This window comes from Homo sapiens, chromosome 11, assembly GCF_000001405.40.
Source record: "Homo sapiens chromosome 11, GRCh38.p14 Primary Assembly".
Classification (NCBI taxonomy): Eukaryota; Metazoa; Chordata; class Mammalia; order Primates; family Hominidae; genus Homo; species Homo sapiens.
Genome location: NC_000011.10, coordinates 20,474,226 through 20,500,803, shown reverse-complemented (window position 1 = coordinate 20,500,803; position 26,578 = coordinate 20,474,226). Strand labels below are relative to the sequence as shown.

At 37.0% G+C, this 26,578-nt stretch overlaps 1 protein-coding gene across 5 annotated transcripts in view, besides 1 other annotated feature; it reads right to left on the bottom strand.

Annotated features, from left to right (window-relative positions):
- The window catches only part of PRMT3 (protein arginine methyltransferase 3), a 121,623-nt gene that overhangs the window by 8,535 nt on the left and 86,510 nt on the right, over positions 1-26,578 (bottom strand). For all 5 annotated transcript variants that reach the window (NM_005788.4, NM_001145167.2, NM_001145166.2 and 2 more), the window contains 2 exons: positions 6,835-6,885; positions 6,550-6,637 (listed from right to left, as the gene is read on the bottom strand). In NM_005788.4, the coding sequence (NP_005779.1) occupies positions 6,550-6,637; positions 6,835-6,885 (139 nt within the window). The remainder of the gene's footprint in view (positions 1-6,549; positions 6,638-6,834; positions 6,886-26,578) is intronic.
- Positions 10,774-10,823: a silencer, noted in NCBI's record as "silent region_3204". NCBI's record gives its function as "represses an Ori minimal core promoter by ATAC-STARR-seq in GM12878 lymphoblastoid cells {active_cell/tissue: GM12878}" and the evidence as "EXISTENCE:reporter gene assay evidence [ECO:0000049][PMID:35858748]".

Sequence of the window (26,578 nt, the reverse complement as noted above, 5' to 3'; positions counted from 1 at the left end):
CCAAAGTCTCAAATATTATTTCTTCCAGAAGTTTTACAGTCTAAGCTTTTAGATTTGTACCTATGATCCACTTAGTTTTTATGTATGTTAGTTTTTGGATATGGTGTGAAGAATGATTTTCTCAAACAAATATTTACTTGTTCTAGCACCATTTCAAAAGATCACCCTTTCCCCATTAATCAACACTGCCCCTTTGTAAAAATTTAATTATACAAGAGCAGGTCTATTTCTGGATTATTTGTTATACTGACTTACATGGCTACAATAAACACCACTACTATACTGCCTAGATTAATATAACCTTTTGGTAAGTTTAGAAATAACACAGCATAAAGATTCCAATGTAGTTCTTTCTCAATTATTTTGGTTATTCTAGGCTTTTGATTTCTATATAACTTTTAGAATTAGCCCATTAATTTCTACAAAACTGAGATTTTGACTGAGATTGCACTGAATTAATAAAGGAAATTCTTCTATGAAGAAGTAACACTGTAACAGTATTAAGTGTTCCAATTCAGAGTATATCTCTCCATTATTTAAGTTTTCTTTAATTTCTCTGAGCAATGTTCTATAGTTTTAAATATACAAGTTTTGCATATATTTTGTTAAATTTATTCCTAAGGTTTTAATTTTTCTTGATGCTGCTGTAAATGGTATTGTTTTTTAAATCACAAGTTCAATCATTCATTGCTCCTCCAGGAGCTCTCGCTGTCTGTGCTGATCCCTGCCTAGGTTTCAGGCTATCTGGATTCCAGGCTGGGGGATATTGGAAGAAAACATAAATTTACCACAAGTTTGCTGGTACTTAGAATTCCGGTCTTCTCCTCCCAATTATTTGCTATTACTTTTCAGAGATCTTGATGGCTGCTCCATATACTCTGGTTTTATAGCTACATTTGGCGGGAAAAATTGGATAGAATGTGCTGTTATCACATTACCTGGGACCGGAATTTCAGTGCCTTTATATTTAAAGTGTGCTTCCTGGAGGCAGCATTTAGTTTTATTCAGTCTATTTCTGCCTTTTAATTGGCATTTTCCAGATCCTTTATGTTTAATGTAATTATCAGTCTATTTAAGCGTGAATTTAAGTCTATCATCTCACCATTTGTTTTCTATTTGTTCACCTGTTTGTGTCCTTTTCCCCATCTTCTTCTTTAAAAAAATTTAATTTTTTTTTAGAAATAGGACCTTGCTCTGCACCCAGGCTGAAGTATAGTAATGCAATCATAGCTCACCACAGCCTGGACCTCCTGGGCTTAAGCAATCCTCCTGCCTCAGCCTCCTGTGTAGCTCAGACTACAGTTATGTGCCACCACACTTGGCTAATTAAAAAAAATTTTTTTTCTTTAGAGACAGGGTCTTGCTTTGTTCCCCAGGCTGGTCTCAAACTCTTGGCCTCAGCGATCCTGCTGCCTTGGCCTCCCAATGTGCTGGGATTACAGGCATGAACCACCACGCCTGGCCCCTATCTTCTTTTGAATTGGGTACTTTTTTCAGGATTCCATTCTGTCTCCACCAGTAAATTATTAGCTATAGTTTGTGGTTTAATTTTAAATTCATTAGCTGTTGCTTTAGGGTTTACAATGTACATACTTAACTGCTTCACATACAGTGTAAAAACTTTACAATACATTAAATATTTCTATTTTATCATTAATTTCCTTGGTTATCATTGCCATATATTTTACTTCTCCATATGTTTTAAGCCTAAAAACATTATTTTGCTTTAGTCAATGATCATTTAAGAAATTAAGAAATGAAAAAATAAAGCTTTTTAATGTGATCACACATTTACCATTTCTGGCATTTTCCACTGCTTTGTTAAGATCCAAGTTTCCATTTGGTGACATTTTGTTTCCTCTTGAACTTACTTTAATACATGTCTTATATTTCCAGTCTGCTGAAAATAAATTTGTTCAGCATTTTTCTCCTGAAAAAGTCTTCATTTAGTTTCATTAAAGAACATATTTCTTGTAGATGCAGAATCTAGGTTGCCAGTTTCAATACTTCAAAATGTCATTCAATTAATCATCTTTCCTACACAGTTTTTGATGAATATTCTTTTTTTTCCTTCTAGACAGAGTCTTGCTCTGTTGCCCAGGCTGGAATGCAGTGGTGCAATCTCAGCTCACTGCAACCTCTGCCTCCTGGGTTGAAACAATTCTTGTGCCTCGGCCTCCCGAATAGCCGGGATTACAGGTGCGTGCTACCACGTCCAGCTAATTTTTTGTATTTTGAGTAGAGATGGGATTTCGCCATGTTGCCCAGGCCTGTCTCGAACTCCTGAGCTCAGGCAATCTGCCTGCCTCGGCCTCTCAAAGTGCTAGGATTACAGGCATGAGCAATCACGCCCGGCCAGTTTTTGATGAATATTCTAAGGTTATTTCTTTGTTCTTCTCTACATGATGTTTCATTTTACTCTGGCTTATGTTAAAATTTTAAAAAGTTATCACTGTTAGTTTGGCATGTTTTGGTGTTTTGAGCTTATCCTTCTTCGGGTTAATTGAGTTTCTTCGATGTGTAGCTTGTATCAAATATACTTCCTGTTGCATTGCCTCACCTTACCCTATTCCTCCCTCAGCTTCTTCCAAGGACTAGGCTAGAGTGCTTGGTATTTCCCCATAAGCTACTGTGGATATGTTCATTTTTATTTTAAATATGTTTCTTCTCTCCTTGCTTTATTTTGGATACATTTTATTGCTATGTATTCAAGTTCACTGATCTTTTCTTCTGCCATTAATTCCATCAAATGACATTTTCACTTTAAATGTCTTCTTATATTCTCTTCGCTATGTTCACATAAGCATAGTTATAACATTTTTTTCAACATGCTTGTCTGCTAATTTCATCACTTCTGGGTCTGTTCCTATCAGACATTTTCCTGCACCCATTGTTTGGTTGAATGTATCCATTTTGTTTTCCTTTGTGGCTACTAAGTTACTTGCAGCTTAGTTCTTTTCCCTTCAAGGCTTGTTTTTAAGATTTGTTAAGGAGGATCTAGACAGCCTTAAGCTAGAAACGTGAACCCCTTGCAGCCCTGTGTGAACTGAGAACTCCTTGGTACACATTTGCTCCAACTACTTTGCCTGACCTTGTGCATTTAATCCTACATATACACATCTTATTACTTGCGTAAAACTCCGGGAGTCTTCCTATAGATCTTTTTGAGCTTGTTTTCTGATGAGCTTACCCTCTTCAGTACTCTGCTCTGCAACTTCCCAGCATCTGTTAATCAAGGCTAACATCAAAGGCTTAGCAGGATTCAGAACAACAAAAAGTGTTAACACTTACATGATCCTTTCTTTATACTCCCATAACTAAGAAATGACTATTTTTCCAACTGTAAAATTTCCTTTTAAAATCTTTCTTCAGCTTGTACTCTCTTAGGGGATTCTAATATTTTGTGATACATTGGTCTTACTATTTAGATACAAATGCATACACCACAGTAGTAAAAGAAACACAGGTGGTGCCAGCAGGCAACATTTGCATCACACACCTCCTTCACGATATTCTATAAATACCTAAGAGCAAAGCACAAACCAGTTACTCTAAGGATTACTGGGTAAAGAATAGTTAGGATTTTAAAACTTCACTAGTCATCAAACAATATTTTCTCGTAATGAAGTAGGAGAAAATTTTGAGAATCAAACTCAAATGCTATCTTAAGTCTCCCTCACGATTAAAACATGAACTAGTACTGCCTTTAAAATTCTAGTATTAAGATGACAAAATGGCTACAATGAAGAAAAAAAAGCAACATTTTCAAGTTTCCAAACATCAATCCAAATACCAGAGCTACAGAAAAACAAAAATGAGGCTTAAAGGACCTCATTTGGGTTTGCCTCATTTCACTTTTGCTGTGCTGAAGCTTTCTGCAGACAGAGAAAATGACACCATCAAGGTTTTATTTCCATATCACTTGCAACTTCAAAGTGAGAAAATGACAAGGTGCTGCTTCAATCTGGTATTTACTTGCATCTATTAAACTCAATTTATGTACCAACAGTGAAACTGAAGCTATAGAATTTATGAAATATTTAAAACAGAGATTGATAACCACCTGGTAACTGTAATATAGAGCCCACCACTCAGCTTTGTAAAATCTATCAGAGTTCCTCCAATTTTTTACAAAGTTTTCCTTTATATGTCTTTTATATGACATTGACCCCCACCCCCCACCCCAGTTGTAGCCTGCCCTAATCCTATTTCTATCCAGAGGTAACCACTATGCTGAATCTGAGCTGCTTGTTTCATACTTGTATTAGATATGTGTATGTATGGTTGCTTACATGTTTTAAAAGTTCACATAAATGGTATCTTGTCAGACTCATTCTGCAATTTTCTTTTTTGCTCAATGTTGCCTCCCTTACATTAACTCCCCAAGAGACAGGGTCTCACTATGTCGCCCCAGCTGGAGTAAAGCAGCTCAATCACAGCTCACTGCAGCCTCAGACTCCTGGGCTCAAGGGAACTTCTGGCCTCAGCCTCCTAAGTAGCAGGGACTATAGGTGTGCGCCACCATGCCCGGCTTCAATGTTGTTTTTGATAGAAACATACATACATAACTTACCTGATCCAGATACTATGCTATGCAACTACCACATTTATTTATCCATCTTCTGCTGAGGGACAATTAAGGTTATTTCCAATTTTTCCCTTCTATAAAACATGCTACTATAAAGATTTTTACATATGTTGTGGGAGAGACTGTTTAGAATACATGCCTAGGAAAAAATTGCTTAGCTGTAGGGATGGTACATCTATACTTAGCTTCATAGTATCAAACTGTTCTCGAAAGTTTTACTAATTAAAAGCCAGCAAAAGGGAATGAAAGTTCCATTTGGCTACATTATTGCCAGCACTTGACATTGTTAAACTTTATGTATTTTCTTCCCCCAATTGATGGACAAGAAACAGCATCTCATGGTTTCAGTTAGCCTTTTCCTGAGTTATTGGTGAAGCTGGATTTTTTTCACTGCAGCTTGTTATACATTCAGCTTTTGTACTCTCAGGAGGTTTTCAGAGAAGGTGGTACAAGAAGACTTATATGTAGTAAGCAGTTTAAATTTTTAAATTCCATAATCAAATTCTAACTTTTAGAGTGAAATATATAGGTATGTCAGAACTATAGGTGCTAATGTAAGTGAACAATCAATGAGTTTTTAAAATAAAAAATAGAATCTGATTAGCCCTTGAATACTGCATAAGATTTGGATAGGCAGGGAAGAGACAGTGGAGAGAATGCTAAGACAAATATATTTTGAATGCAATAACTTTTTCTCTTTTTTTGAGACATGGTCTTGCTGTGTCACCCAGGCTGGAGTGCAGTGGTATCATCATAGCTCCCTGCAGACTCAAGCAAGCCTCCTGCCTCAGCCTCCAAGCAGCTAAGACTACAGGCTTTTGTCACTATGCCCAGATAATTTTTATTGTTTTGTAGAGATAGGGTCTTGCTATGTTGCTTGGGCTGGTTTAAACTGGCCTCGGCTGGGTGCGGTGGCTCATGTCTGTAATCCCAGCACTTTGGAAGGCCGAGATGGGCAGATCGTCTGAGGTCAGGAGTTTGAGACCAGCCTAGCCAACGTGGTGAAACCCCATCTCTACTAAAAATACAAAAATTAGCTGGGCGTGGTGGTGCCAGCTACTTGGGAGACTGAGGCAGGAGAATTGCTTGAACCCAGGAGGTGGAGGTTGCAGTGAGCTGAGATGGTGCCACTGCACTCCAGTCTGGGCAACAAGAGTGGAACTCCGTCTCAAAAAAGAAAAAACAAAACCCAAAACTGGCCTCAAGTTATCCTCCTGCCTCAGCCTCCCAAAGTGGCTTATTACAGGCATAAGCCACTGTGCCTGGCCTACAATAACTACTGAATGAAATTGTCTTTAACTTTTATTTTATTGGTAATATTTCTCTTCAGTCACTTGGAGAAAGAAAATATTTTTAGTTATATTTGTAACTTATTAAATACTAATTATTGCCGAAAGTTTTCTGAATTATTTTGTGATACTTTAAGAGCCAGGTAGTCTTATTTATTTTAGTTGGCAGAAATTAGACTTAAAAATTTTTCTTAAATTATGTCTTTAATTAAATGATATGCCATCTAAAATTTATGTAGATGGTAAGCTCTAAGAATATCTTTTCTTAACATCTGTTATATTGCTTCAAATATATTGTGCAGGCCAGGCGCAGTGGCTCACACCTGCAATCCCAGCACTTTGGGGGGGCCGAGGCAGGTGGATCACTTGAGGTCAGGAGTTGGGGACCAACATGGTGAAACCCCATCTCTACTAAAAATACAAACATTAGCTGGGTGTGGTGGTGTGTGCCTGTAATCCCAAGTACTTGGGAGGCTGAGGCAGGAGAACTGCTTGAACCCAGGGGATGGAGGTTGCAGTGAGCCGAGATCACTGTTCTCCAGCCTGGGTGAGACAGCGAGACTCCGTCTCAAAAAACAAATATAGTGTGCACATAAAAAGTGGCTGTAAAATGAATGAATATCATTTACTTCAGAATGAATAAGATACTTCCCCCCTACTATTCTTTCTCACCTGCTTTAACTGAAAATGGTTTTTCCAGTAGAAATACTGTTTGTTTCCAGTGTGTTTTGGTGCTCTGAGGGCCCGTAGAGAACACGACCTGAATTGGTAAAGTTCAAAGGTATTTGATGAAGTACAAGATTTTTAATATCATGGTACATTAATCTACGACATCAAACACAAGCCCCAATTGCTTACAGCAGCAAAATGCTTATGATTAAACACCTTGGGGCACAAAATAAAATATAATGTACTTCTGTAATAATTAATTCTTATGAGATAATTCATGATACTTACCCTGTTGTGGCAATTCTTCTCAAAATATATATCAAAGTAGCCAGCAATTGCCTGTTTTTTAAAAAAAGAAATATAAATGCTTACTAAATGAATTACATAATATAATAACTCATTACTGTCTCTTAAGACATGGCAAATGATAAACCATTTCAGAGACTAAATACCTCTTAAACTCAATATTTTTCCTGGAAAAGATGTTGTAAGTAAAAACGAAGTAATGTAATTTGGCTTTTCCTCACAGAAACAACATAATAAAGGTAATAAGGCTAATCAAATAATTAGTACATTTTATTAGAGAAATAATCATGCTAGACCACTGAAAGGTGAACACACATGGAGAGAGAGACTCAGCTGGCCCCTCACTGATCCTCACTCGCCAACTGAGATGTCCACCCACGCATTAGGCTATCTTGACTTCTCCAGCTGTAGTCAAGTGTTCAGACAACTGCAGCGGCATGAAAGATGCCAGGAAGGACCAGCAAGTGCACTACTCAGTTAAGTCCAGTCAGGATTGCAGAATCGGAAACAAACAGATAAAAATGGTTTGGGCTTCAAGCCAGAGTTCTGAGATGGGCTATTACATAGCAATAAATAATTAAAACATCCTATTTATACAAAGCCAGTTCATTTAATTTCTTCTAGTCCAGTATATCTGTTTTTAAGTACTATGAATATTTTTGTGATGAAATAAAGATTTTTAAAATGTTACTTATTTTTTTTTTCCTGAAAAAATGAACAGTAGTACTCAAATCTTATGTTTAAGCAAGTACTCAAAGGAGAAACTCCAAAGTGAGCTCTAAGGGTTATTGTGATAGTACAAAAAGATTTTTTTTTTTTTGACATGGAGTCTTGCTCTGTTGCCCAGAGGGATCTCAGCTCATTGCAACCTCCGCCTCCTGGGTTCAAGCGATTCTCCTGCCTCAGCCTCCTGAGTAGATGGGACCACAGGCGTGCGCCACCACACCTGGCTTTTATATTTTTAGTAGAGACGGGGTTTCACCGTGTTGGTCAGGCAAGGCTGAGTAGATGGGACTACAGGCGTGCGCCACCACACCCGGCTAATTTTTATATTTTTAGTAGAGATGGGGTTTCACCATGTTGGTCAGGCTGGTCTCGAACTCCTGACCTTGCGACTCACCCACTTCGGCTTCCCAAAGTGCTAGGATTAGAGGTGTGAGCCACTGCACCCAGCCTACAAAAGATCTCTTAAAGAAATTAACATACTCAGATAAATACATAATTTTGAGTTTTTTGGTTAAATTTAAATACCATTCCATTTTCTTTCACTATTGGAACTAGCTGGACTTAATCACTTTTTAAAGCTGGCATTACATTAAGCTTAGAAAGTGTAAAAAACAGGACACTGATTTTTTGAAAAATCATGGTAAAGCTAATTTGTGTACTCTGCTACTTTTGTTAAAAATGTGACATTTTATTGATCTGGTAGGGTTAATATGGATTAGGTCCAAACCAAACTCAATATTTAACCCTGAGGTTCACTGCAATTTAGATACCAAGAGAGAATCAAAATACTAGTAATAATTCTGCCAAATAGAATTATAAAACAATGTAGTACTCAGCCACAGATTATCATAAAAACCACGTGGTTAATTAGAATATTTCTAAATATAACTTTATCAGTTGATTTCCAGATACTTATGATACCCCTTCACAGACCAATTCAACTGTTTTCTTATTTATTCCTGTATGCCTGTCTTGTTCACCACTATACTCTCAGTGCCCAGAGCAGTAACCTGGCCCATAGGATACAATACAATACAATATTTGATGAGCAAATGTGTTTATTATACATTCTGTTATGTTAGTTACGATAGTATATTACAGTTTGCCTTATACTGCAATTTATTTAAGAGCAAGGCATATGTATAACTCACTTCTATGCCCCTTACCCAATACAATGTTATATAGTAGGTTCTCAATAAATTTTAGCCAAATTAAAATTTTTAGTCTTCAGTCTCAAATATGGCTAGCTTTATTACATAGTCAGTATACTTTATTAAAGCATTGACTAACTGAACTTGAATGGAACTAATAATTTTTAACTCTGAAAAGCATGGAACATGTGGGACAAATATGGAGAGGAGAGAGCTAGAAAAGATCTAATTCTGTATGTAGGAAATGCAGAAGTCTCAGCCTAACCCCCAAATTACGCATTTTCAGGTGAGATCCAAACCCACACAGCAAAAGCTTAGAGCATTGAACTAAAATTTGAATCACTGCTGCAAGTCTCAGGATTAACCTCTGGATAAAACATGCATGGAAAAAAAACCGAAACCAACAAGTAAAGGCCTAGAGAACTGACGTGAGATTGGAAAAATCTGTAAAAGTCTCAGACTAATCCGTAAACTAGGTATGTGTAAGACAGCCTCAAAACAGCATAACAAAGGCTTAGAGAATGTGACTGAGACTTGGTCAACTGTCTGCTCGGACACTAAGACAGAACTTATGGTCTGATTTTAACTGGGCTTGACTGCTAACAACAAACATCAACATCCTTAAGATTTTAACAAGACACACAGTTTACACAACATAGCATGCACAACATCTAAGGTGCAATCTCAAATTACTCAACATACAAAGAATCAGGAAAATTGAACAACTCTCAGGAGAAAAGACAAGCCACCTCTGAGATAATCCAGATGCTCAAACTATCAAGCAAAACTTTAAAGCAGCAATTATAACCATGTTCCAACGGTGACAGAAAACACAATGGAATGAATCAAAAGACAGAAATTCTCAGCAGAGAAACCATAAAAAAGCACCAAATGAAAAATTTTCAATTGAAAATTATAATAACTGAAACTTCCGGGTTGAATAGCAGAATGGAGATGACAGGGAAAAAATCAGTGAATTTGAAGATTGATAGAAATTATCCAATTTGAAGAAGGGAAAAAGACAGCAATTAAAATGCATGTTATAGAACCTTGGAGACCTATAGATCTAACGTGTCATTGGTGGTCCAGATGGAAAAGAAAAAGACACTGATGGAGAAAAAAAAGTTTTAAAATTCTATATCTAGACAGAATGAATGAAGGCATTTTCAAGTCAAGGAAAAGTAAAGAAATTCATTGCCAATAGACTTCCTCTAGAAACATTTTAAAAGAAGTTCTTCAGAAGGTAAACTGGAACAACAAGAACAGAAAACCCATAGTTCTAAAACATCCTTTTGTTTTCAAAATTTTTAGTGTACCTTTTAAAATTGTTTTAAACTCATGTAACAGCCTCTCATCTTTCTGTAATTATACTTCTATAACTGTTATATTTATTGCCAGTCTTTTTTTAATCAGAATTAGAAATGCTTCTCTTCATGTATCTGAAGATGTCACAAAAGCTGCTTTTAAACCCAAATTTTCACAAAAGCTCTTATTAGCTTACTAGGATTTATTTTTCCCCACATTTTTTGGGGGGCCTCCCAAAGCACTGGGATTACAGGTGTGAGCCACCACGTCCAGCCACACATGCTTATTAATCAATCTCCAAATCTGTGTATGAATTTCAGTTAAAAATTTCCAGCCCTTAATAATATAGTGAAAGAAATACTGGGAAGTTCTGGGTAACCAAAAAATAAGTTTTAAGACAAAGAAAAATGACAGATATAGTTAACTTCAGTTGTAAGCACTGGAAAGAATCTATGACAAATATCTGAAATTGCATCTATGTGAAATGCCTCACAGTATCTTTGAGTCTTCAAGCACAGTCACATTTCTAATGAGGTTTGGTTTACAGTAATACTCAGTTCCACAGCACACATTAAACAGAAAGCAGAAGCATGAGGAGAAGTTAGGAAGGAATTCACCTAAAATTCAAACTGTGTGCAGATAATCTATCTACTCACTAGACAGCATTCGTACAGTTGAGAAAGTGGAAGATTGCTGCTCTGAAAAAAACAAAGGGAGTTTCTGGTTTTAAAATGGGTGTCTACCCTCAAACACCAACATGATCTAGAATGCCCCTTAAAGAGACAGGGTTTGTGGTGTTACCTTTTTTTCTTTTCTTTTCTGTGTGATTCTTATTTTTAAAAATTTTTATTTAATTTTAGAGATGGAGTCCCGCTATGGTGCCCAGACTGAAATCAAACTCCTGGGCTTAAGGGATCTTTCTGCCTAAGCCTCCTGAGTAGCTGGGACAACAGTTGCATGCTACTAACTCTTAATTAAAAGAGATTAAGAAAAAAAAAAACCCCTTCAATTTGAAACATAGTAATATAAAACCAAATGAATTATGATTAGTGTTTTTATTTCTGCAAAGCTATTAAATAAGGAATAATGATATAACCAAATATCAGCTGATTTAGGAATAAATGACTTATTTTGTCAGGAAAATATAAACATGCCACTATTTTCAATTACAGTTTGGCCACCTTGCTACCATCACTTTGACAGGCTATCTTAACATCTTTTAAATGTTAATTTCAATGAATATACATTATCTCTGTGGAAGTCATTCAAATATAAGAATAAACAACCATAGGAAATAATGACTAATAGGCAATGGCAACAAATAACTAACTGGAGCTACAACTTGACATATGCTCGTAAAAGATCAGAGAGGTCTGAAGGCTGACTGCAGAAGAAATTTCTCCTTTGTCTCACGTATATATCTTGTTGGGGCAATGAGAACTGCTGAGGGGGAAAAAAGCATTAAAATCTATCTGTAGGAGTTGGGTTAATCTGCAAAGGCAAGGTCACAGTTAAATAAAATTTCACTGAATTATACCACAGTCAGAAAAATTTATAACTAAAAGTTTAGTTATAAAAGTCCCTTAGAGTGAGAGAAGGGAGAATGAGTGGTAAGTAGTAAAAAAACAAAAACAATGATAGAAGAAAACAGAATGAAAGGAAACTACGTATACATAGTGAATTTCTGGGATAGCTTGATCACTCTTGATATTTTGTGAGAATCCTCGACAATTACTTTGATGCACATAGGAAAATACAAGCATGGAGCTCTGTTGTACATCTTAAATATTCCTCAGCATGTAATAGTTTCAGAACTCATCTTTTTGTGGATTTCACAAAAAGAAAACTCATGGCATTTGTAAACTGAATCATGAAAAAATCTGTTTTAAGCCATGTTTTGTTTATATGTATAAAGGTAAATGCAGTTCATTTAATATACACTCATTTGAAGAACAATGATTTGGGATAAAAAATGACTTTCTCAGGTATTTTAGTGTGATGAATATTTCTTTAAAGAGGACACATTGTGTGTATGTAATAGGATGGCAACCAATGAAATAAGATCAGACTAGACCTTATGAGGAAGAAGGAAATTAAAAATTATCATTATCACTATCACCTGCAGGGAGTAATTTATCATTTCTGTTCTTCATTGGTATCATGTTCCAACAGCATGTGGTTACAGCAGATACAATTAGGCAGCTGGCCACAGAAGTAGGAGGATAATGTGCTTTTGATGGAGTTTATCCAAGCATGGAGATAGAGTGCTTGTAATCCATGCAGCAGAATCACTATAACAAAAATACAATTCATTTTTCGTTGAAGTATTTCTTTCAAAATCTCAATATGGAATGCAAAAGCCAACTGATGAGTCTGAAGCAAGCAAAGAAAGAGTAAGCAGACAATGCCATAAAAATGACTGTTATAGCTTAGATCATCATATATAAACCAAGGAGATGAAAATACAAACATAAGCTATACGAGCTGCCACATACAGAGCATGAACTGTGCTAGTAATAAATGGCGTTTAAGAAGACATAATCAACAAATATGAAAATTATATATTATGATTTTTTCCCCAATTGTAACTATACATTAAATTACGGACTCTTTCTTTTTCAATTAATTTTCTATTGTATCCCAAGAGAAAATCTGCACCTTTTCTTTCATGATTCTCCTCTAGGGAACAATACACATTAAGTGCCATATACGTCTCAAGAGATACTGCCAGATTGAGTGGTGGTAAAAAATAGACAAAGCAATATGGGAAGTAGTAAAACAGGCAATAGTCCAAAAATATTTTTAAAAATACTTTTATTGAAAAACACAATGTAATTTATTTCTGATCTACATAGAATATTTCAAGATAACTGAAACTCCTTTTAAATTTATTTGGGATTGCTTCCTTGTAATTTCAAAATTGCTTATTAAAGTGGTTTTAGGGGGCAAAAATCATCTTCAGAGTCTGTAACACGAATACTTTCATTTTGACATTTCATAAATTGATACCTCACATTTCTTCCTAGCTATAAACACAAAATTGTTTTATACAACCCATATTCATTGAAATTTACTGATTTTTCATTTTAGAAACTGCTTTATAATGTACATTCAGAAAAGTGCACATAAGTGTACATCATGCTGAATTTTCAAACTGAATACAGCTGTGAAACCCACACCCAGATGAAGAAACAGAACATCTCAGCACCCTAGTAGTCCCCCTCATGCACCTATGCCTCTAACGACCTATCCTAATACTCTTAAGCAAAGATTCATTTTTCCTATTATACTTCAATATATAAAGAATCATACATCAGGCAGTCCTTTGTGTCTGGCTAATTTCCTCAATATTGTTTATGAAATTCATCTACATTACTGCAGATGATTCATTTTCATGGCCGTAAGGTATATGTGACTATATAATTTAGTCTACTGCTGACAGGCACTTGAACGGTTTTTGTGAATATACATAACATGGCCATTGGGTATATACCTAAGAGAACTACTGGTATGTAAATATTTACCAGTTTTGTTCACCTTTATTCCTTCCTGAATTTCTGGCCTTCCATCAGGGATCATTTGCTGTTTGCCTGAATATCCCTCGGTACTTCCTTTGGCACAGGTTTTTAAGGCAAATTCTTTCTCTTCTTTTCTGCTTATCTGAAAATATCTTTATTTCAGCTTCATTCTTCTTCTTCTTTTTTTTTTTTCTTGAGATGGAGTCTCACTCTATTGCCCAGGTTGGAGTGTAGAGGTGCAATCTCAGTTCACTGCAACCTCCACCTCCTGGGTTCAAGCAATTCTCCTGCCTCAGCCTCCCGAGTAGCTGGGACTAGAGGTGTGTGCCATGATGCCCGGCTAATCTTTGTAATTTTAGTAGAGACGAGGTTTCACCGTGTTGGCCAGGCTGGTCTTGAACTCCTGACCTCAAGCCACCTGCCTGCTTCGCCCTGCCGAAGTGCTGGGATTACAGGCATGAGCCACTGTGCCCAGCCAAGTTGTCCAGCTTCATTCTTAGAAGAAATCTTAGTTGGGTTAAACTCAGGGTTGGCAGTTATTTTCTGGCAGCACAGTGATAATGTCATCATTACAATTTCTTCTGTCTTTTTTTCTTCTGATTACAATGTTCCTCTCCCCTGCTCCCCGAATTCCATTGTTCCTTGTGCACCTGGCTAATACAGGGCATACATGCCCTGTATTAGGTAGGTGTACAAAGGGGACTACTAGGGTGCTGAGATGTTTTGTTTCTTCATCTGGGTGTGGGTTTCACAGCTGTATTCAGTTTGAAGATTTACCAATTATAGAAATTATCTACTAGTCTACTTAGCTCTTCTTTAAAGGTAATTCCAGCACCATAGTTCCACCAACTTTGAGATTTTTCTTTGGTTTCTGTAGTTTCACTAGGATATGTCTAGGTGTGGGTTTCTCTTCCCTCATTTAAACTGAGGTATAATTCACATACCAAAAAATTTACCCATTTAAATTGTACAATTCAACATTCTTTAGTATACTCAGAGTTGTGTAACCATCATTACAATCTAATTTTAAAAACATTTCATTTCCCCCAAAAGAAATCTTCCATCCATTCTCTTCTTGCCCAGTCTGTGTCTACAAATATACCTATTCTGGATATTTCATCTAAATGGAATCATATAAGAGATGGTCTTTTGTGACTGGTTTCTTTCACTTAGCGTAATGTTTTTAAGGGTTAACCATGTTGTATCGTGTTTCATTCTTTTTTGTAGCTGAATAATATTCCATTGCATGGATATGCCAAATTTTACTTATCCATTCTATAGGTGATAGACATTTGAATTACTTCCATTTCTTAGCTATTATGAATAATGCTGCTATAAACATTTGCGTGGACATGTTTTCACTTCTCTTAGATATACACCTACATTTGGATACAATCTTAAAATTATGCTATTTAGGTTATGTTGACTTCTTAAATTGTTGCTTTCATCTGTTTTGGAAAATTCTTAGCCATCATCTCTTTAAATACTGTAACATTCTCATCCTCCTTTTCTCTGGGATGCCCATTTACATGTATATGTAATTAGACCTTTTCTTGTATCTACGTTATTTCTTGCCCTTCCCTCTGTCTCATTCTTGCATGTCTCCAGGCTTCTTTCTGGACATTTTCTTCTGCCCTAAAATCCAGTTCGCAGATCTTCTCTACACTAATACATGAAGATCTGCTGTTCAAATCATATTTAATTTGGTCTTAGAATGTCTGTTCAATTCTTTTCCAAACCGTATTTTAAAAAATGTTTCCATTTGTTAAAATTTGCAGTATTTTTTCTCTTTGAATTTAGTAAGCATAGTTTTTCAAAACCTATGTCTGCTATAACTAATTCCTGGAGCACCTAGAGCTCTGTTTTTATTGTCTACTGCTTCAACTGGTTCTTGATTCATGTTGTTTTGTGTCCTTGTGTGACTGATTACCTCTGAATATGTTTTGAACATTAATATTTGAAAAACTTTGTGAAAATAATTTGAAACCTGTAATAATCTTCTAGAAAGAATTTTTGTTTCTGCAAGGAACCTGGGGGCATGGCAAACCGAGATCTTAATCTAATATCAGGGTTTGAGACTTCCTGGACCACCCAGATGACTTGAAGCTGTGCTGTAGTCCATGCAAGTGTTCATTTACTTCTCTCATACCTTATTCTTGGGCACAGTCTTTACAGTCCCAATGCAAAGTCCTGCAAAACTATTAGGGTCCCACTTTGTATTCCTATCCACGTGAGCAATATCAAAAGGGCTACACAAGTCTTTCAGCTCCTTCCTCTGAATTGGTAAATGCCTATAGGGCAAAAGCAGCCCCAATTGTTAGTCTCATTTTTCAGATTACCTTCTTTTCTGAGTCTTGGCTTAGTAGTACTTCCTTATTTGTTAACTTCAAACAGATAGCATTTAACTTTTTTTTGGCATTTGTAGCTGTTTTCGGCAAAAGGGTTTCTCCATTTTATGTGGCTTACCACTACAAAGAGGAAGATTATTTACTGTATTGCTTTTTCCTACCTAAGGCCCCCTACCTGTATGATAAAGACAAACCAGAGACTGGGCAATTTACAAAAGAAAGAGGTTTAATGGGACTTACAGTTCCACGTGGCTGGGGAAGTCTCACAATCATGGTGGAAGGCAAAGAGGAGCAAGTCATGTCTTACATGGATGGCAGCAGGCAAAGAGAGTTTGTGTATGAAAACTCCCCCTTATAATACACATCAGACCTTGAGACTCACTGTCATGACAGCAGCACAGGAAAGGCCTGCCCCCATGATTCAATTACCTCTTACTGGATCCCTCCCACAACACATGGGAATTCAAGATTTGGGTGAGGACACAGCCAAACCATATCACTGTAACACTCCCCCCAATTCTTAAACTAACTCATTTGTGATGTCTCAGTTTAAATATTATTTCCTCTGGGCAGCCTTCTTTAATCCCAGAGTAGGGTATAATACATCCATAAAATGTTCCTGCACTCCTTGTAATAACACTCACTATATTTATAATACTTTTTGTTCAATGTCTTTGTTCACTTGTAGATCCCAATAGCCCTTTAAGGGCAGTCTTACCATTTCTTTGTTCGCCTCTGCATCCTCACTGCCTAAGCATGCCTGGGCATGCTATCTAAATGGTGAAACTGCACAGAAGGCATGAAATATCCTGGAATGTTCAGGGACTATAGGAAATCAGTATGATTTATTAAGTAAACTATTTGTTAAATGATAAAGAGATATGGTCAACCTGTCCCAACCTTTGGTAAAAGGAAATGATGATGCTGTAACTTATAACTTCCTATTTTTAACTCAAAACTGCTATCAGATGCAACAACTTCAGAGAAATATTCCCTCATCTGTACAATTAATTACTTCCCACTAATACAATACATATGGTATTAGAAAGGCTTTCAAGAAGAAGCCATACTTAAAGTAAAAACCTTAAAGACGAGCAGGGATCAGGGAAAGGAAGAGTATACAAGGCTACGGGTGTCTTTTATATGCCTCTGCTATTCTATTATAGAGCACTACATTACAATTCTCCATTTATGTTGGCCTCTCCTTCTAAATGAATGTCTCTAGGGCTAGAAATTACATTTTGATTATTTGTTGTATTCATAGTGCCTAGCACAGAAGCCCACACATAGTGTTCAGTCCATGTTTGAATGAAAAGTGATGTTGCATAGTATTTTTTTTTTTTTTTTTTGGCAATCTCTGCCATTTAAAAAGGCTTGCAGCCCACTGCTTCTCTAGATTTCTCTTCTCCTGCTCCCTCACACATCATCGGTTTTCCACTGCTTGATATCAATGATTACTGTTTCCTTATATTCCATTTTTTGTGCTGCTTTCCAATCTTCCCCCAAAACTATCCATGCAAAAGCCCTATGTTCCATTCCTAATTCCTCAAATGACAGAAGATACTATCAGTCGTAAGTAAACATTATATTTTAATATTAAGAATACACTTGTTCACCTGAACAAAACAGATACACTGAATTTACAAATCAACGCAGCATAAAAAAATTAGTTTTATGACTGCTGAAGAAGTTTAAAACTGAAAAATATTAAAACTAATTTTTGTGTCTAGGTGACCAAGTTCTACCAAATGCTACTTGTCTTTACAACCCTTCAATAGTATAAATTAAGAGATGGAACACTGAAACAACGATTTAACAGACGGTAAAAGGGGGACATATAGAAGATGTGATATACCCTATTTTCTGAAATGAATAGTTTTTTTTTGCTCTTTTGAAAAGTAAGGTAGAAAGATAGCTACCAACTCACCACCTAAGCCCTTCTGTTATGTACCTGATATATAGAGTGGGAACTAAAAATCTGGCAAATATTATAAGGTATATTCTGAGCCATCTGGTATATATATCAAATTTATTTTTCTAATTTTTGACTTGACTTGTCTTTCCAAATTTTTGACTTGACTTGTCTTTCCATGAGGAGTGATTTCCTCCTGTTAATACATACATATACATAAAATGTCTGTAAACATTAGGTACTTCAGGATTTTTAGAAGATCTTAATGCCAATATTCATAATGGTGTCTGTCAGTGCCTAAGTTAAAATAAGCCTGAACTTGGGAAGATTACTTCCTTATACGTCATTACTCCATGGGTAACCGGCTGAATCAAAAAGGAAAATACCTGGTCCAACTCATTTCTTATCACAATCTAATAATGTTAATTGACAGCCTCTGTGATAAGTCTAGGGAGAACCCCTCTGACATCTCTAATCAAGAGTCCACTCTTATTGATTATTTGATAAATACACTATTTTGTGCTTATTGCTAAACTTCAGATAGATATTCTAGTCCTGCTAATTTCTCAGAATTTATTGTCCTTCAACATTGCTGATTTCAAGCATAAACCTATACCTATCTAGAATTAAATGATTTTAATATAGCTTAAGAATTTTAAGATTCCACTCAAATTGTATTTTAGGACAATTTGATGTTCAAATCCTTTTATAATATCACTCACTTGGAGGCTTTAGAATCAGAATTTTTTAAAATGCTGATAAAATTTCTTTAATGTCTCTGAAATTTAAACAATGAATTACAGAAATTCAGAAGCATTATTTTTCAGCATGGCTTTCAAAAGAGGATCAAGCACACGAATCTCTATTAACTCTATGGACAGGTTATTTTACTCAACTGCAGGGTTCCTCATTTTGTGGACTTTTGCATTCTCTCTGACTAGGTTCAAATATGATTTCAGTATTACAGGCGATTCCTCCCACTATTCTAGGCAACGAACATATACCTAAAAGTTTTCCAAAGCAGGAAACGTTATCTTCTTAATAATTTTTTCATAATGGTAATGTTTCCAAAAAGAGTAGACAGAAAAGCTAAACACAAAGAATGGGTTGAAAAAAATACAGACTTTTAAAAGGCTAAAATACTCTGGGGTCCAGTTTCAAGGGCTCTTGACTCTCTAGGGTTGGAAAAATGAAGGATAAAATGAAGTCAAATGGAAGTAAATTTGGAGAGCAATGCATAAGGTGCACCTGGACTTCAAATATGGAAAATATTAGAACTAGACAGAATCCCTTTGAAACAAAGTAATAAGACAAAACATTATTTTATAGTACTCATATTCTGCAGAGGATAAGTCATATGGGAAAAATCTCAAAATTACCTTGGAAAATCTCTTAAGATGTCATTTTAGAGACTAACATATAAACTATCCCTCAGTAAGTTCAATACAACCCGTTCTTTAAGCAATGGTACAAATCACCATTTCTTTGGCTGGGCTCCAGATGAAGTAGATGGCTTATAGTGAGTGCCATATTGTATTAAAAATACACACTTTTATAAAGACAATCATGCAGTCTAGCAAGATGCTCATCCTACAGAAATCTACTAAAGAAACAGCAGATGTGTTTCTCACATCATGCTCATTTTGGGGCACATGTTCACAATTAAAAAGGAGGGCAGAATCATCTGTACTACTGAGACCATTATTTCTCTCAGACTTTTTTTTTTTTTACCTGAATGCTTGCAGTTAATTTGCGTAAATTATATCTGCATATGATGCTACTCCACTGGATTTCCTTTAAAAAACAAGCTTTTGGAATCCAACAGCCTCAAGGAATAGCATAGGTTAAAAAATACATCCTCATTCATGTAATTTTATCATTGTTTAAAATGCTTTGTTAAAGTGTCAGCAGCATATTTTGATGGATATTTTCAAAAAGTCTTTCATAAAATGTTCTTTGATTCCTACTCTTATGTATCTGGGCCAAATATGTCACAAGTATGACTTGACAAGACAGGCCACAGAACTGTGTTTCAATTTCCTACTGGATATCACTACTTACATAACTCAAAGGTATGAAATTCAACGTACTAATAATTGAGCATCTGATCCTCACCTCTAAATTTGCTCTTCCAATTTTCTTTGACAGGACCATAATTTTTCAAATTGTACATGTAAGAAACCTTGGAGTCATCATTGATACTGAGAGCAATGGGAGTTATTGCCCTCACTCCCCATCATCTAACTCATTCTCAAGTCCTGTCAATTTTATCTCTTAGGTAACTCATGAACAAGTCCGCTAAAACTGCCTTTGTGTAAGTCACTGCAAAGCTACTAGAATAACCTACATATTGGCCTCCCACATCCACTCTGGTGGTCTCCTCTTTGTTCTCCATATTCTAGCCACAATCTTTCTAAAGGGCCCTTCTGATCACAACACTCTACTTAAAAAACATCACAACTGAAACGGCCAAATAGCACAAGGTGCTTTCCATCTCTTAGCACTATGATCTACATGTCCCAGCCATCCTAGGCTTCTTTCAACTCCTTAAACCTATCAAACTACTGACCACCAGATAGACATTTTTTGGCTTTGGTCAACTTTTCAACTGAAGTACTATATACAAGCAAAAAAACAGATATCTAGCTAACGCAAGAACCACTGGTTTTACATAGAACACACATACACACACAGAGAAGTGAGCAAATCATTGGGATGCAGCTCAGTGAACTTTTTCAAGGTGAACACACTTGTATAACCACTACCCAGATCAAGATACGGACCACTCCTAGTACTCCAGAGACTTCTTTTATGCTCCTTTCCCATCAAGTCACCCCACAAATTGTAACCACTATTCTGATGTCCATGACCAGATGGATCTCGAACTTCTGGCTTCAAGCGATCCTTCCAAATGTTGGGATTACAGGTGTAAACCACTGCGCCCAGCCTTTCCCCCCTTTTTAAATCAACTGTTCATGAAATTCATCCATGTTGTGCTATATTGCCAAGCTCATCTCTTTTTCAATGCTTTATTTTATTCCATAAATATACCACATTTACCCATCCTACTTTCTAGCTTGGGGCTGAGGAAGGCCGCAATGGACATTCTTGAACATTTTTTTTGGTGAACATGTCAACATATTTCTGTGTGTGTATCTGGATCCAGGAGGGAAATGGTTAAGACACAGGGTAAACATGTGTTCAGCTTTGGTAACTATAGCAGGTGGCTGAGATATACAGAAATATCTTTATCTCAGTGCAGTACTTTTGCCTCGTCACTCTTAGGCGTTTCTTATTGTTGTGAGATTCTTTAAAAAAATACTATCAAAAATTTCAAACATACACAATTAGAGAACCTCTGACAAACCTATATTCGGCACACATACTTCACCTAATCTCTTGAGCAAGTACCCTATATTATGTCATTTCTTCCCTCCAAATTCAGTTTGCGTCTGTAAAAAGACGGACATTTTCTTAGATAACTAGAATGCCCTTATCACATGTAACCAAATGTTCAATAATTCAATAATTCTTTAGTATTATCTAATATCCATAGGGTGAATATTTTTTCCACTGAAAGGTAGTGATGCAAATAGGGTGAATTTTATTATGTTTCCACTATTAATGCCTCCTGAATAGAGGAACTATCGGGTGTGGCTTGTTACTACATTCCCAATACCTCTCAGCTCCTAGCATATGCTACTACTCAAAGAACGTTTCCTGAGAATAAACGAAGAGATTTAAATGTTCGCACCACCACCTAAGCCCAGCTACAAAGGTTCAGGTTTCAGAGCAGAGTAGAAAGTTCAAGACCATACTTTAGACCACATGGTCATTCACAAGGAGGAGCCTAAAACCAACTGTAGAGGTGGGATCACATAATGAGAAATGTTCTCCCCCAAGACATAAAATTTACTTAATGAAGCCTATTAAAATATACACCAGATGTCCCATTAAAACCTATGATGCAAGTTCAAGACAAATCTTACTATTTCTAAGCAGCACAGATGTGTTTTAATAATTGTTTTAATAATTAGTTTCGTTAGCTGATTAGCTTTGTAAGGTCAAAATTAGGTCAACTTACAACAAAAAGTACTAAGAGCTAATTTAATACCTAGAAATAAGCTTAGAATTAGTAGGATTCTGCTGTCAGAGATTTTCCAGAAGCATTATAAGATTTAAAGAACACAATTGCAAATAAATGGGCTAATCTTGAAGTTTTTTCTTAAGCCATTAGAAAAATTTAAAGCTTAATTAAAAAGTAAAATGAAAACAGAGTATTATGACTAAGAGATCACTGGTTTGAACTGTAAACATTTTAAAGTTTCTTTTAATAGCAATTGCATTAGCCTTAAAAAACTCAGTAACTGAAAGACTTGTTTTGATTCCATCCAAAGCTAAATATTGGTACCTTTTAAATATCTCTATCATTTATCAAGTAGTTTTTTTTTTTTTTTTAAAGAGACAGGTTCTCACTCTGTCACCCAGGCTGGAGTGCAGTGGTACAATCATTGCTTGCTGCAGCCTTCAACTCCTATCAAGTAGATCATCAAAGAACTGAATTGAGAACTGAAAGGTAACATGAAATTTACCTTTACTTCACTAACTTATGTTTACTTTCATTTACCTTTCCTAACTTTATTTCTGAACTTTCTAAAATTCTAAATATGTAGGCCCAGATTTATTTTCCAGTTTGGGCTTTAAAAAGCAATTTATCCAAGGATGACTTCTAATTAGGATGTAGAAGGTTGCAAAAGACCCTCACTCTAACATAAAAAAGACCCTCACTCTAACATAACAAAAAGAAAACACTAGACTGACTAAACATTTCTCATTAAAACCACAGAGGAGTCTTACTTGCAAATAGGTCTAAATAACTGTCTCCAGAGGGGAATAAATTCTTCCTAGCTGAGCAAAAACAGCTGCTTTCATACCTGAGGGCGTTTGCCCAATGCTAGGGCCCATGTAGTGGGTAAAGTAGCAAAAATGCCACAGTCACAAGAACTTTGCTGGGACAAGGAAACACTAGCCAGGCCCAGTGCACTGGTACACTAGTATAGTTCCCTGGAATTTGGAGAAATCCAAAAGGCAGAGTTGGTCCTCTCTTCAAACCAATTCTCCCTCACGTTACTTATTGGAGTGGATGAAGCTGGTGGTTGTGCTGCAAAACAGGAAGTGGGGGGGGGGGGTTTCTCCTAAGCCAAAACCTTCTGTGGCCACACAGTTCACTATCTCTATTAATACGACATTACTATTCAATTATCTGCTATTCCAGAAGCTACTGCTTAGAAAGAAGAAGGTATTTGTTTCAGGTACCTCAAGAAAATCTATTTATTTGAACAACAGATATATCAATGAATCCTCAGGAGAGTAAATACCCTCCCGTCAAGAACAGATGACTCACTATGCTGTTTACTCTTCAACTCTTTTTTTTTTGAGACGGAATCTTGCTCTGTCACCCAGGCTGGAGTGCAGTGGTGCTATGTCGGCTCATTGGAACCTTCACCTCCAGGTTCAAGTGATTCTCCTGCTTCAGCATCCCGAGTAGCTAGGACTATAGACATGCACCACCATGCCTGGCTAATTTTTGTATTTTTAGTAGAGACTGGGCTGGTGTTGAACCCCTGACCTCAGGTGATCTGCCCGCCTCAGCCTCCAAAAGTGCTGGGATTACAGCCGTGAGCTGCTACACCCGGCCAAGACTCACTTTAAAACCCACCCCTTGATGTGTCTACCAGTTCTCAACTCATGCCAAATCCTAATCAGGACCTTTTCCCTCCAATGCACACACTGAAAGACCTGCTGAGAATTTCATAAATATTCTCACGTCCTTCCTCTGAGATGCTATTAAGACTGTCAATGTAGTGGTCATCCTTACTGTAATAAACCATAAACTCAGCTTTATTTTGATGGTCTTCCCAAGAACTTGGCCACAGGGAAGGGCTTGATCTTGTGCTTAAGACACGGGAAATCAAAAGGGATCGACCCCTCCCGCTAGCTAGCTAGGAGATATTCTTCTAAGGGAAAATATTACCTACTCTAGTCCGTATTATTCTTTTATACAATGTCTAGCATAAAATATGAGAACAAACTGAAAAATGTGACCCTTAAAAGGGAAGAGAAGCAAAATCGCAGATCACTTGGGGAATTAGCAAATTACATCTTAAAAGAATGATTATAAATGTCAAGGAATTCAGATAAAAAGATGGATCAAACTGGTTAAAGAGATAAAAAAACTCTAAAAATGAAAATAGAAATTGTACAACTAAAAGATATCTGAAATAAAAATATTTATTGGCTAAAAATGAACAGCAGAAAGAATGTAAAAAAGAAATAATGAATTAAAAAGTAGGTGAAAAAAATTATCTCAAAGGAACTTATGAAGTGACTACCATACTTCAAGCTTTTCCTTTATTTTGGGTTTGGGAGGGGCAAAGTTTTTCACTTCCTCATGGAATGTTGGCCGTAAAATTTATTAACTCCATTTTTCCTCCAGAAACCCAGTACCACACCACGCTTGGTGTATCTCTAAAACTTTACATTCATATTAAAATGTTCATCATTCATATTAAAATGTTCATAGTACTTGCCTCCTTTCATTAAAGTGCCTTTCCAGGGCAGAGAATATGTTTTGTTTTTGAGATGGAGTTTTTGCTCTATTGCCAAGACTGGAGTGCAATAGGGTGATCTAGCTCACTGCAACCTCTGCCTCCTGGGTTCAAGCAATTCTTCTGCCTCAGCCTCCTGAGTAGCTGGGATTACAGGCGCCTGCCATCACGCCTGGCTAATATTTTTTGTATTTTTAGTAGAGATGAGGTTTCACCACGTTGGCCAGGCTGGTCTTGAACTCTTGACCTGAGGTGATCCACTCGCCTCGGCCTCCCAAAGTGCTAGAATTACAGGCATGAGCCACTGTGCCCCGCCATGTTTTATTTGTTTTTATGTGCCTGCTTTATAGACAAGTACTTGGCACATAGTCAGCATTTAATATTTGTTTAAATCTGTTAATGTAAAGATTTAAAAGGCGGTGGCTCATGCCTGTAATCCCAGCACTTTGGGAGGCTGAGGTGGGCAGATCACCTGAGGTCTGGAGTTCAAGACTAGCCTGGCCAATATGGTGAAATCCCATCTCTACTAAATACAAAATACATCTCTACTAAAATAGAAAAATTAGCTGGGCGTGGTGGCGTCTGCCTGTAATCCCAGCAACTGGGGAGGCTGAGGCAGGAGAATTTCCTTGAGCCTGGGAGGTTGAGGTGGCAGTGAGCAGAGATCGCACCTCTGCACTCCAGCCCAGAAGACAGAGCTAGACTCTGTCTCAAAAAAAAAAAAAAAAAAAGACATTAAGTATCTCTCATGACACTATTCAAATTTATGAAGTTTGACAGAATCCAAAATAAAGGACTTTAAGAGGTTTTTAAGTAAAAACAGAGTCATGTGCCACATAACAATGTTTCAGTCAATGACTGCATATACAATGGTGGTCACATAAGATTATAATACTAAGGGGGCCAAGATGGCCAATTAGAAGCAGCTGCAGTCTGCAGCACTCACAGAGAAGAATGAAAGCGGCAAATGAATTCAGCAACTTCATCTGAAATATCCAGGTTCTTGTATTGGGACTGACTGGGCAAACATCTCAACCCACAGAGAAAGAAGAAAAGCAGGGTGGGGTGATGAACCAACTGGGAGCGGCACTGTAGAAAGTAGAAGTTCCTCTTCAAAGTTTCCCTTCTTGTTAAAGGATAATAATAAATGTTAGAAATAATAATTTCTTTTAAAGACTAAGTTTGTTCAAGCCTCCTTGCTTTGTGCTAATAACCCTTTGTTAAGCCCTATCCTATGTAGCTGTTACACAGGCTCACAGGCAAGTAGTACATTCTATGTCCTTGTACCTTAACCAAGATACTTGTAGTAGATGTGCTCACAGGCATGTCCCAGCTTGCAGCCTACCCCTTCCTTATTTAAGAATGTTATTACTTTTCTAAGTCCTTTAGTAAACAACTTCCTCTTTTCCTTTGTCCTTCCATTGCTTTCACCTATTTAGAAAAGTTTAAAATTATTAGCCAGTCAGGTTTTAGTTTAGATTGTGAGGTCTGGCTCCAGCCAATGGAAACAAGACATAGTAGAAAAGACAAGCTGCATAAAAGACATAAATTGCTTCCCTCCTTTGTTCAAGTGTGCTCTTGCCATTGTTCTATCTGCAAAGAGCACCATTGCCTCGCTGAGAGAACTTTTTGTCTAAATGCTGATTTTTCCTTGCAGTACTGAAGAACAAGCATTCTAACAGCACGAAGCCAAAGGAACACTCAGTCCCAGCTAAGGGAAGCAGTGAGTGATTGTGCGATCCTGCCCAGGAAACCACACCTCTCCCATGGATCTTTGCACCTAGGAGATCCCTTTGTAAGCCACACCACCAGGGCCTTCGGTCCAATACATAGCACCTGTATAGAGTCCTGGCAGAGCAGCCGCTGGGGCATACACAGAGACTCAGGAGTTTTGCATACTCTGGCCCCAGGATTCCTGGCAAGGCCAGAGATCTGTCCCTAGATACTCTTAGGAGGGGAACTGAATCCAGGAAGCCAAGTAGTGTAATTCTGTGGGCCCCACTGGCTTGGAATTCCAGTCAGAGAGGTTTGCCTGAGAAGCACCAAATTCCCAGGGGGAGGGGCGGCTGCCATCTCTGCAGTTCTGTCAACTTGACTATTCCAGCCTGCCAGCTCTGGAGAGTCCAGATGGTCTGGACAAGGAATGGTCTCCCACAGC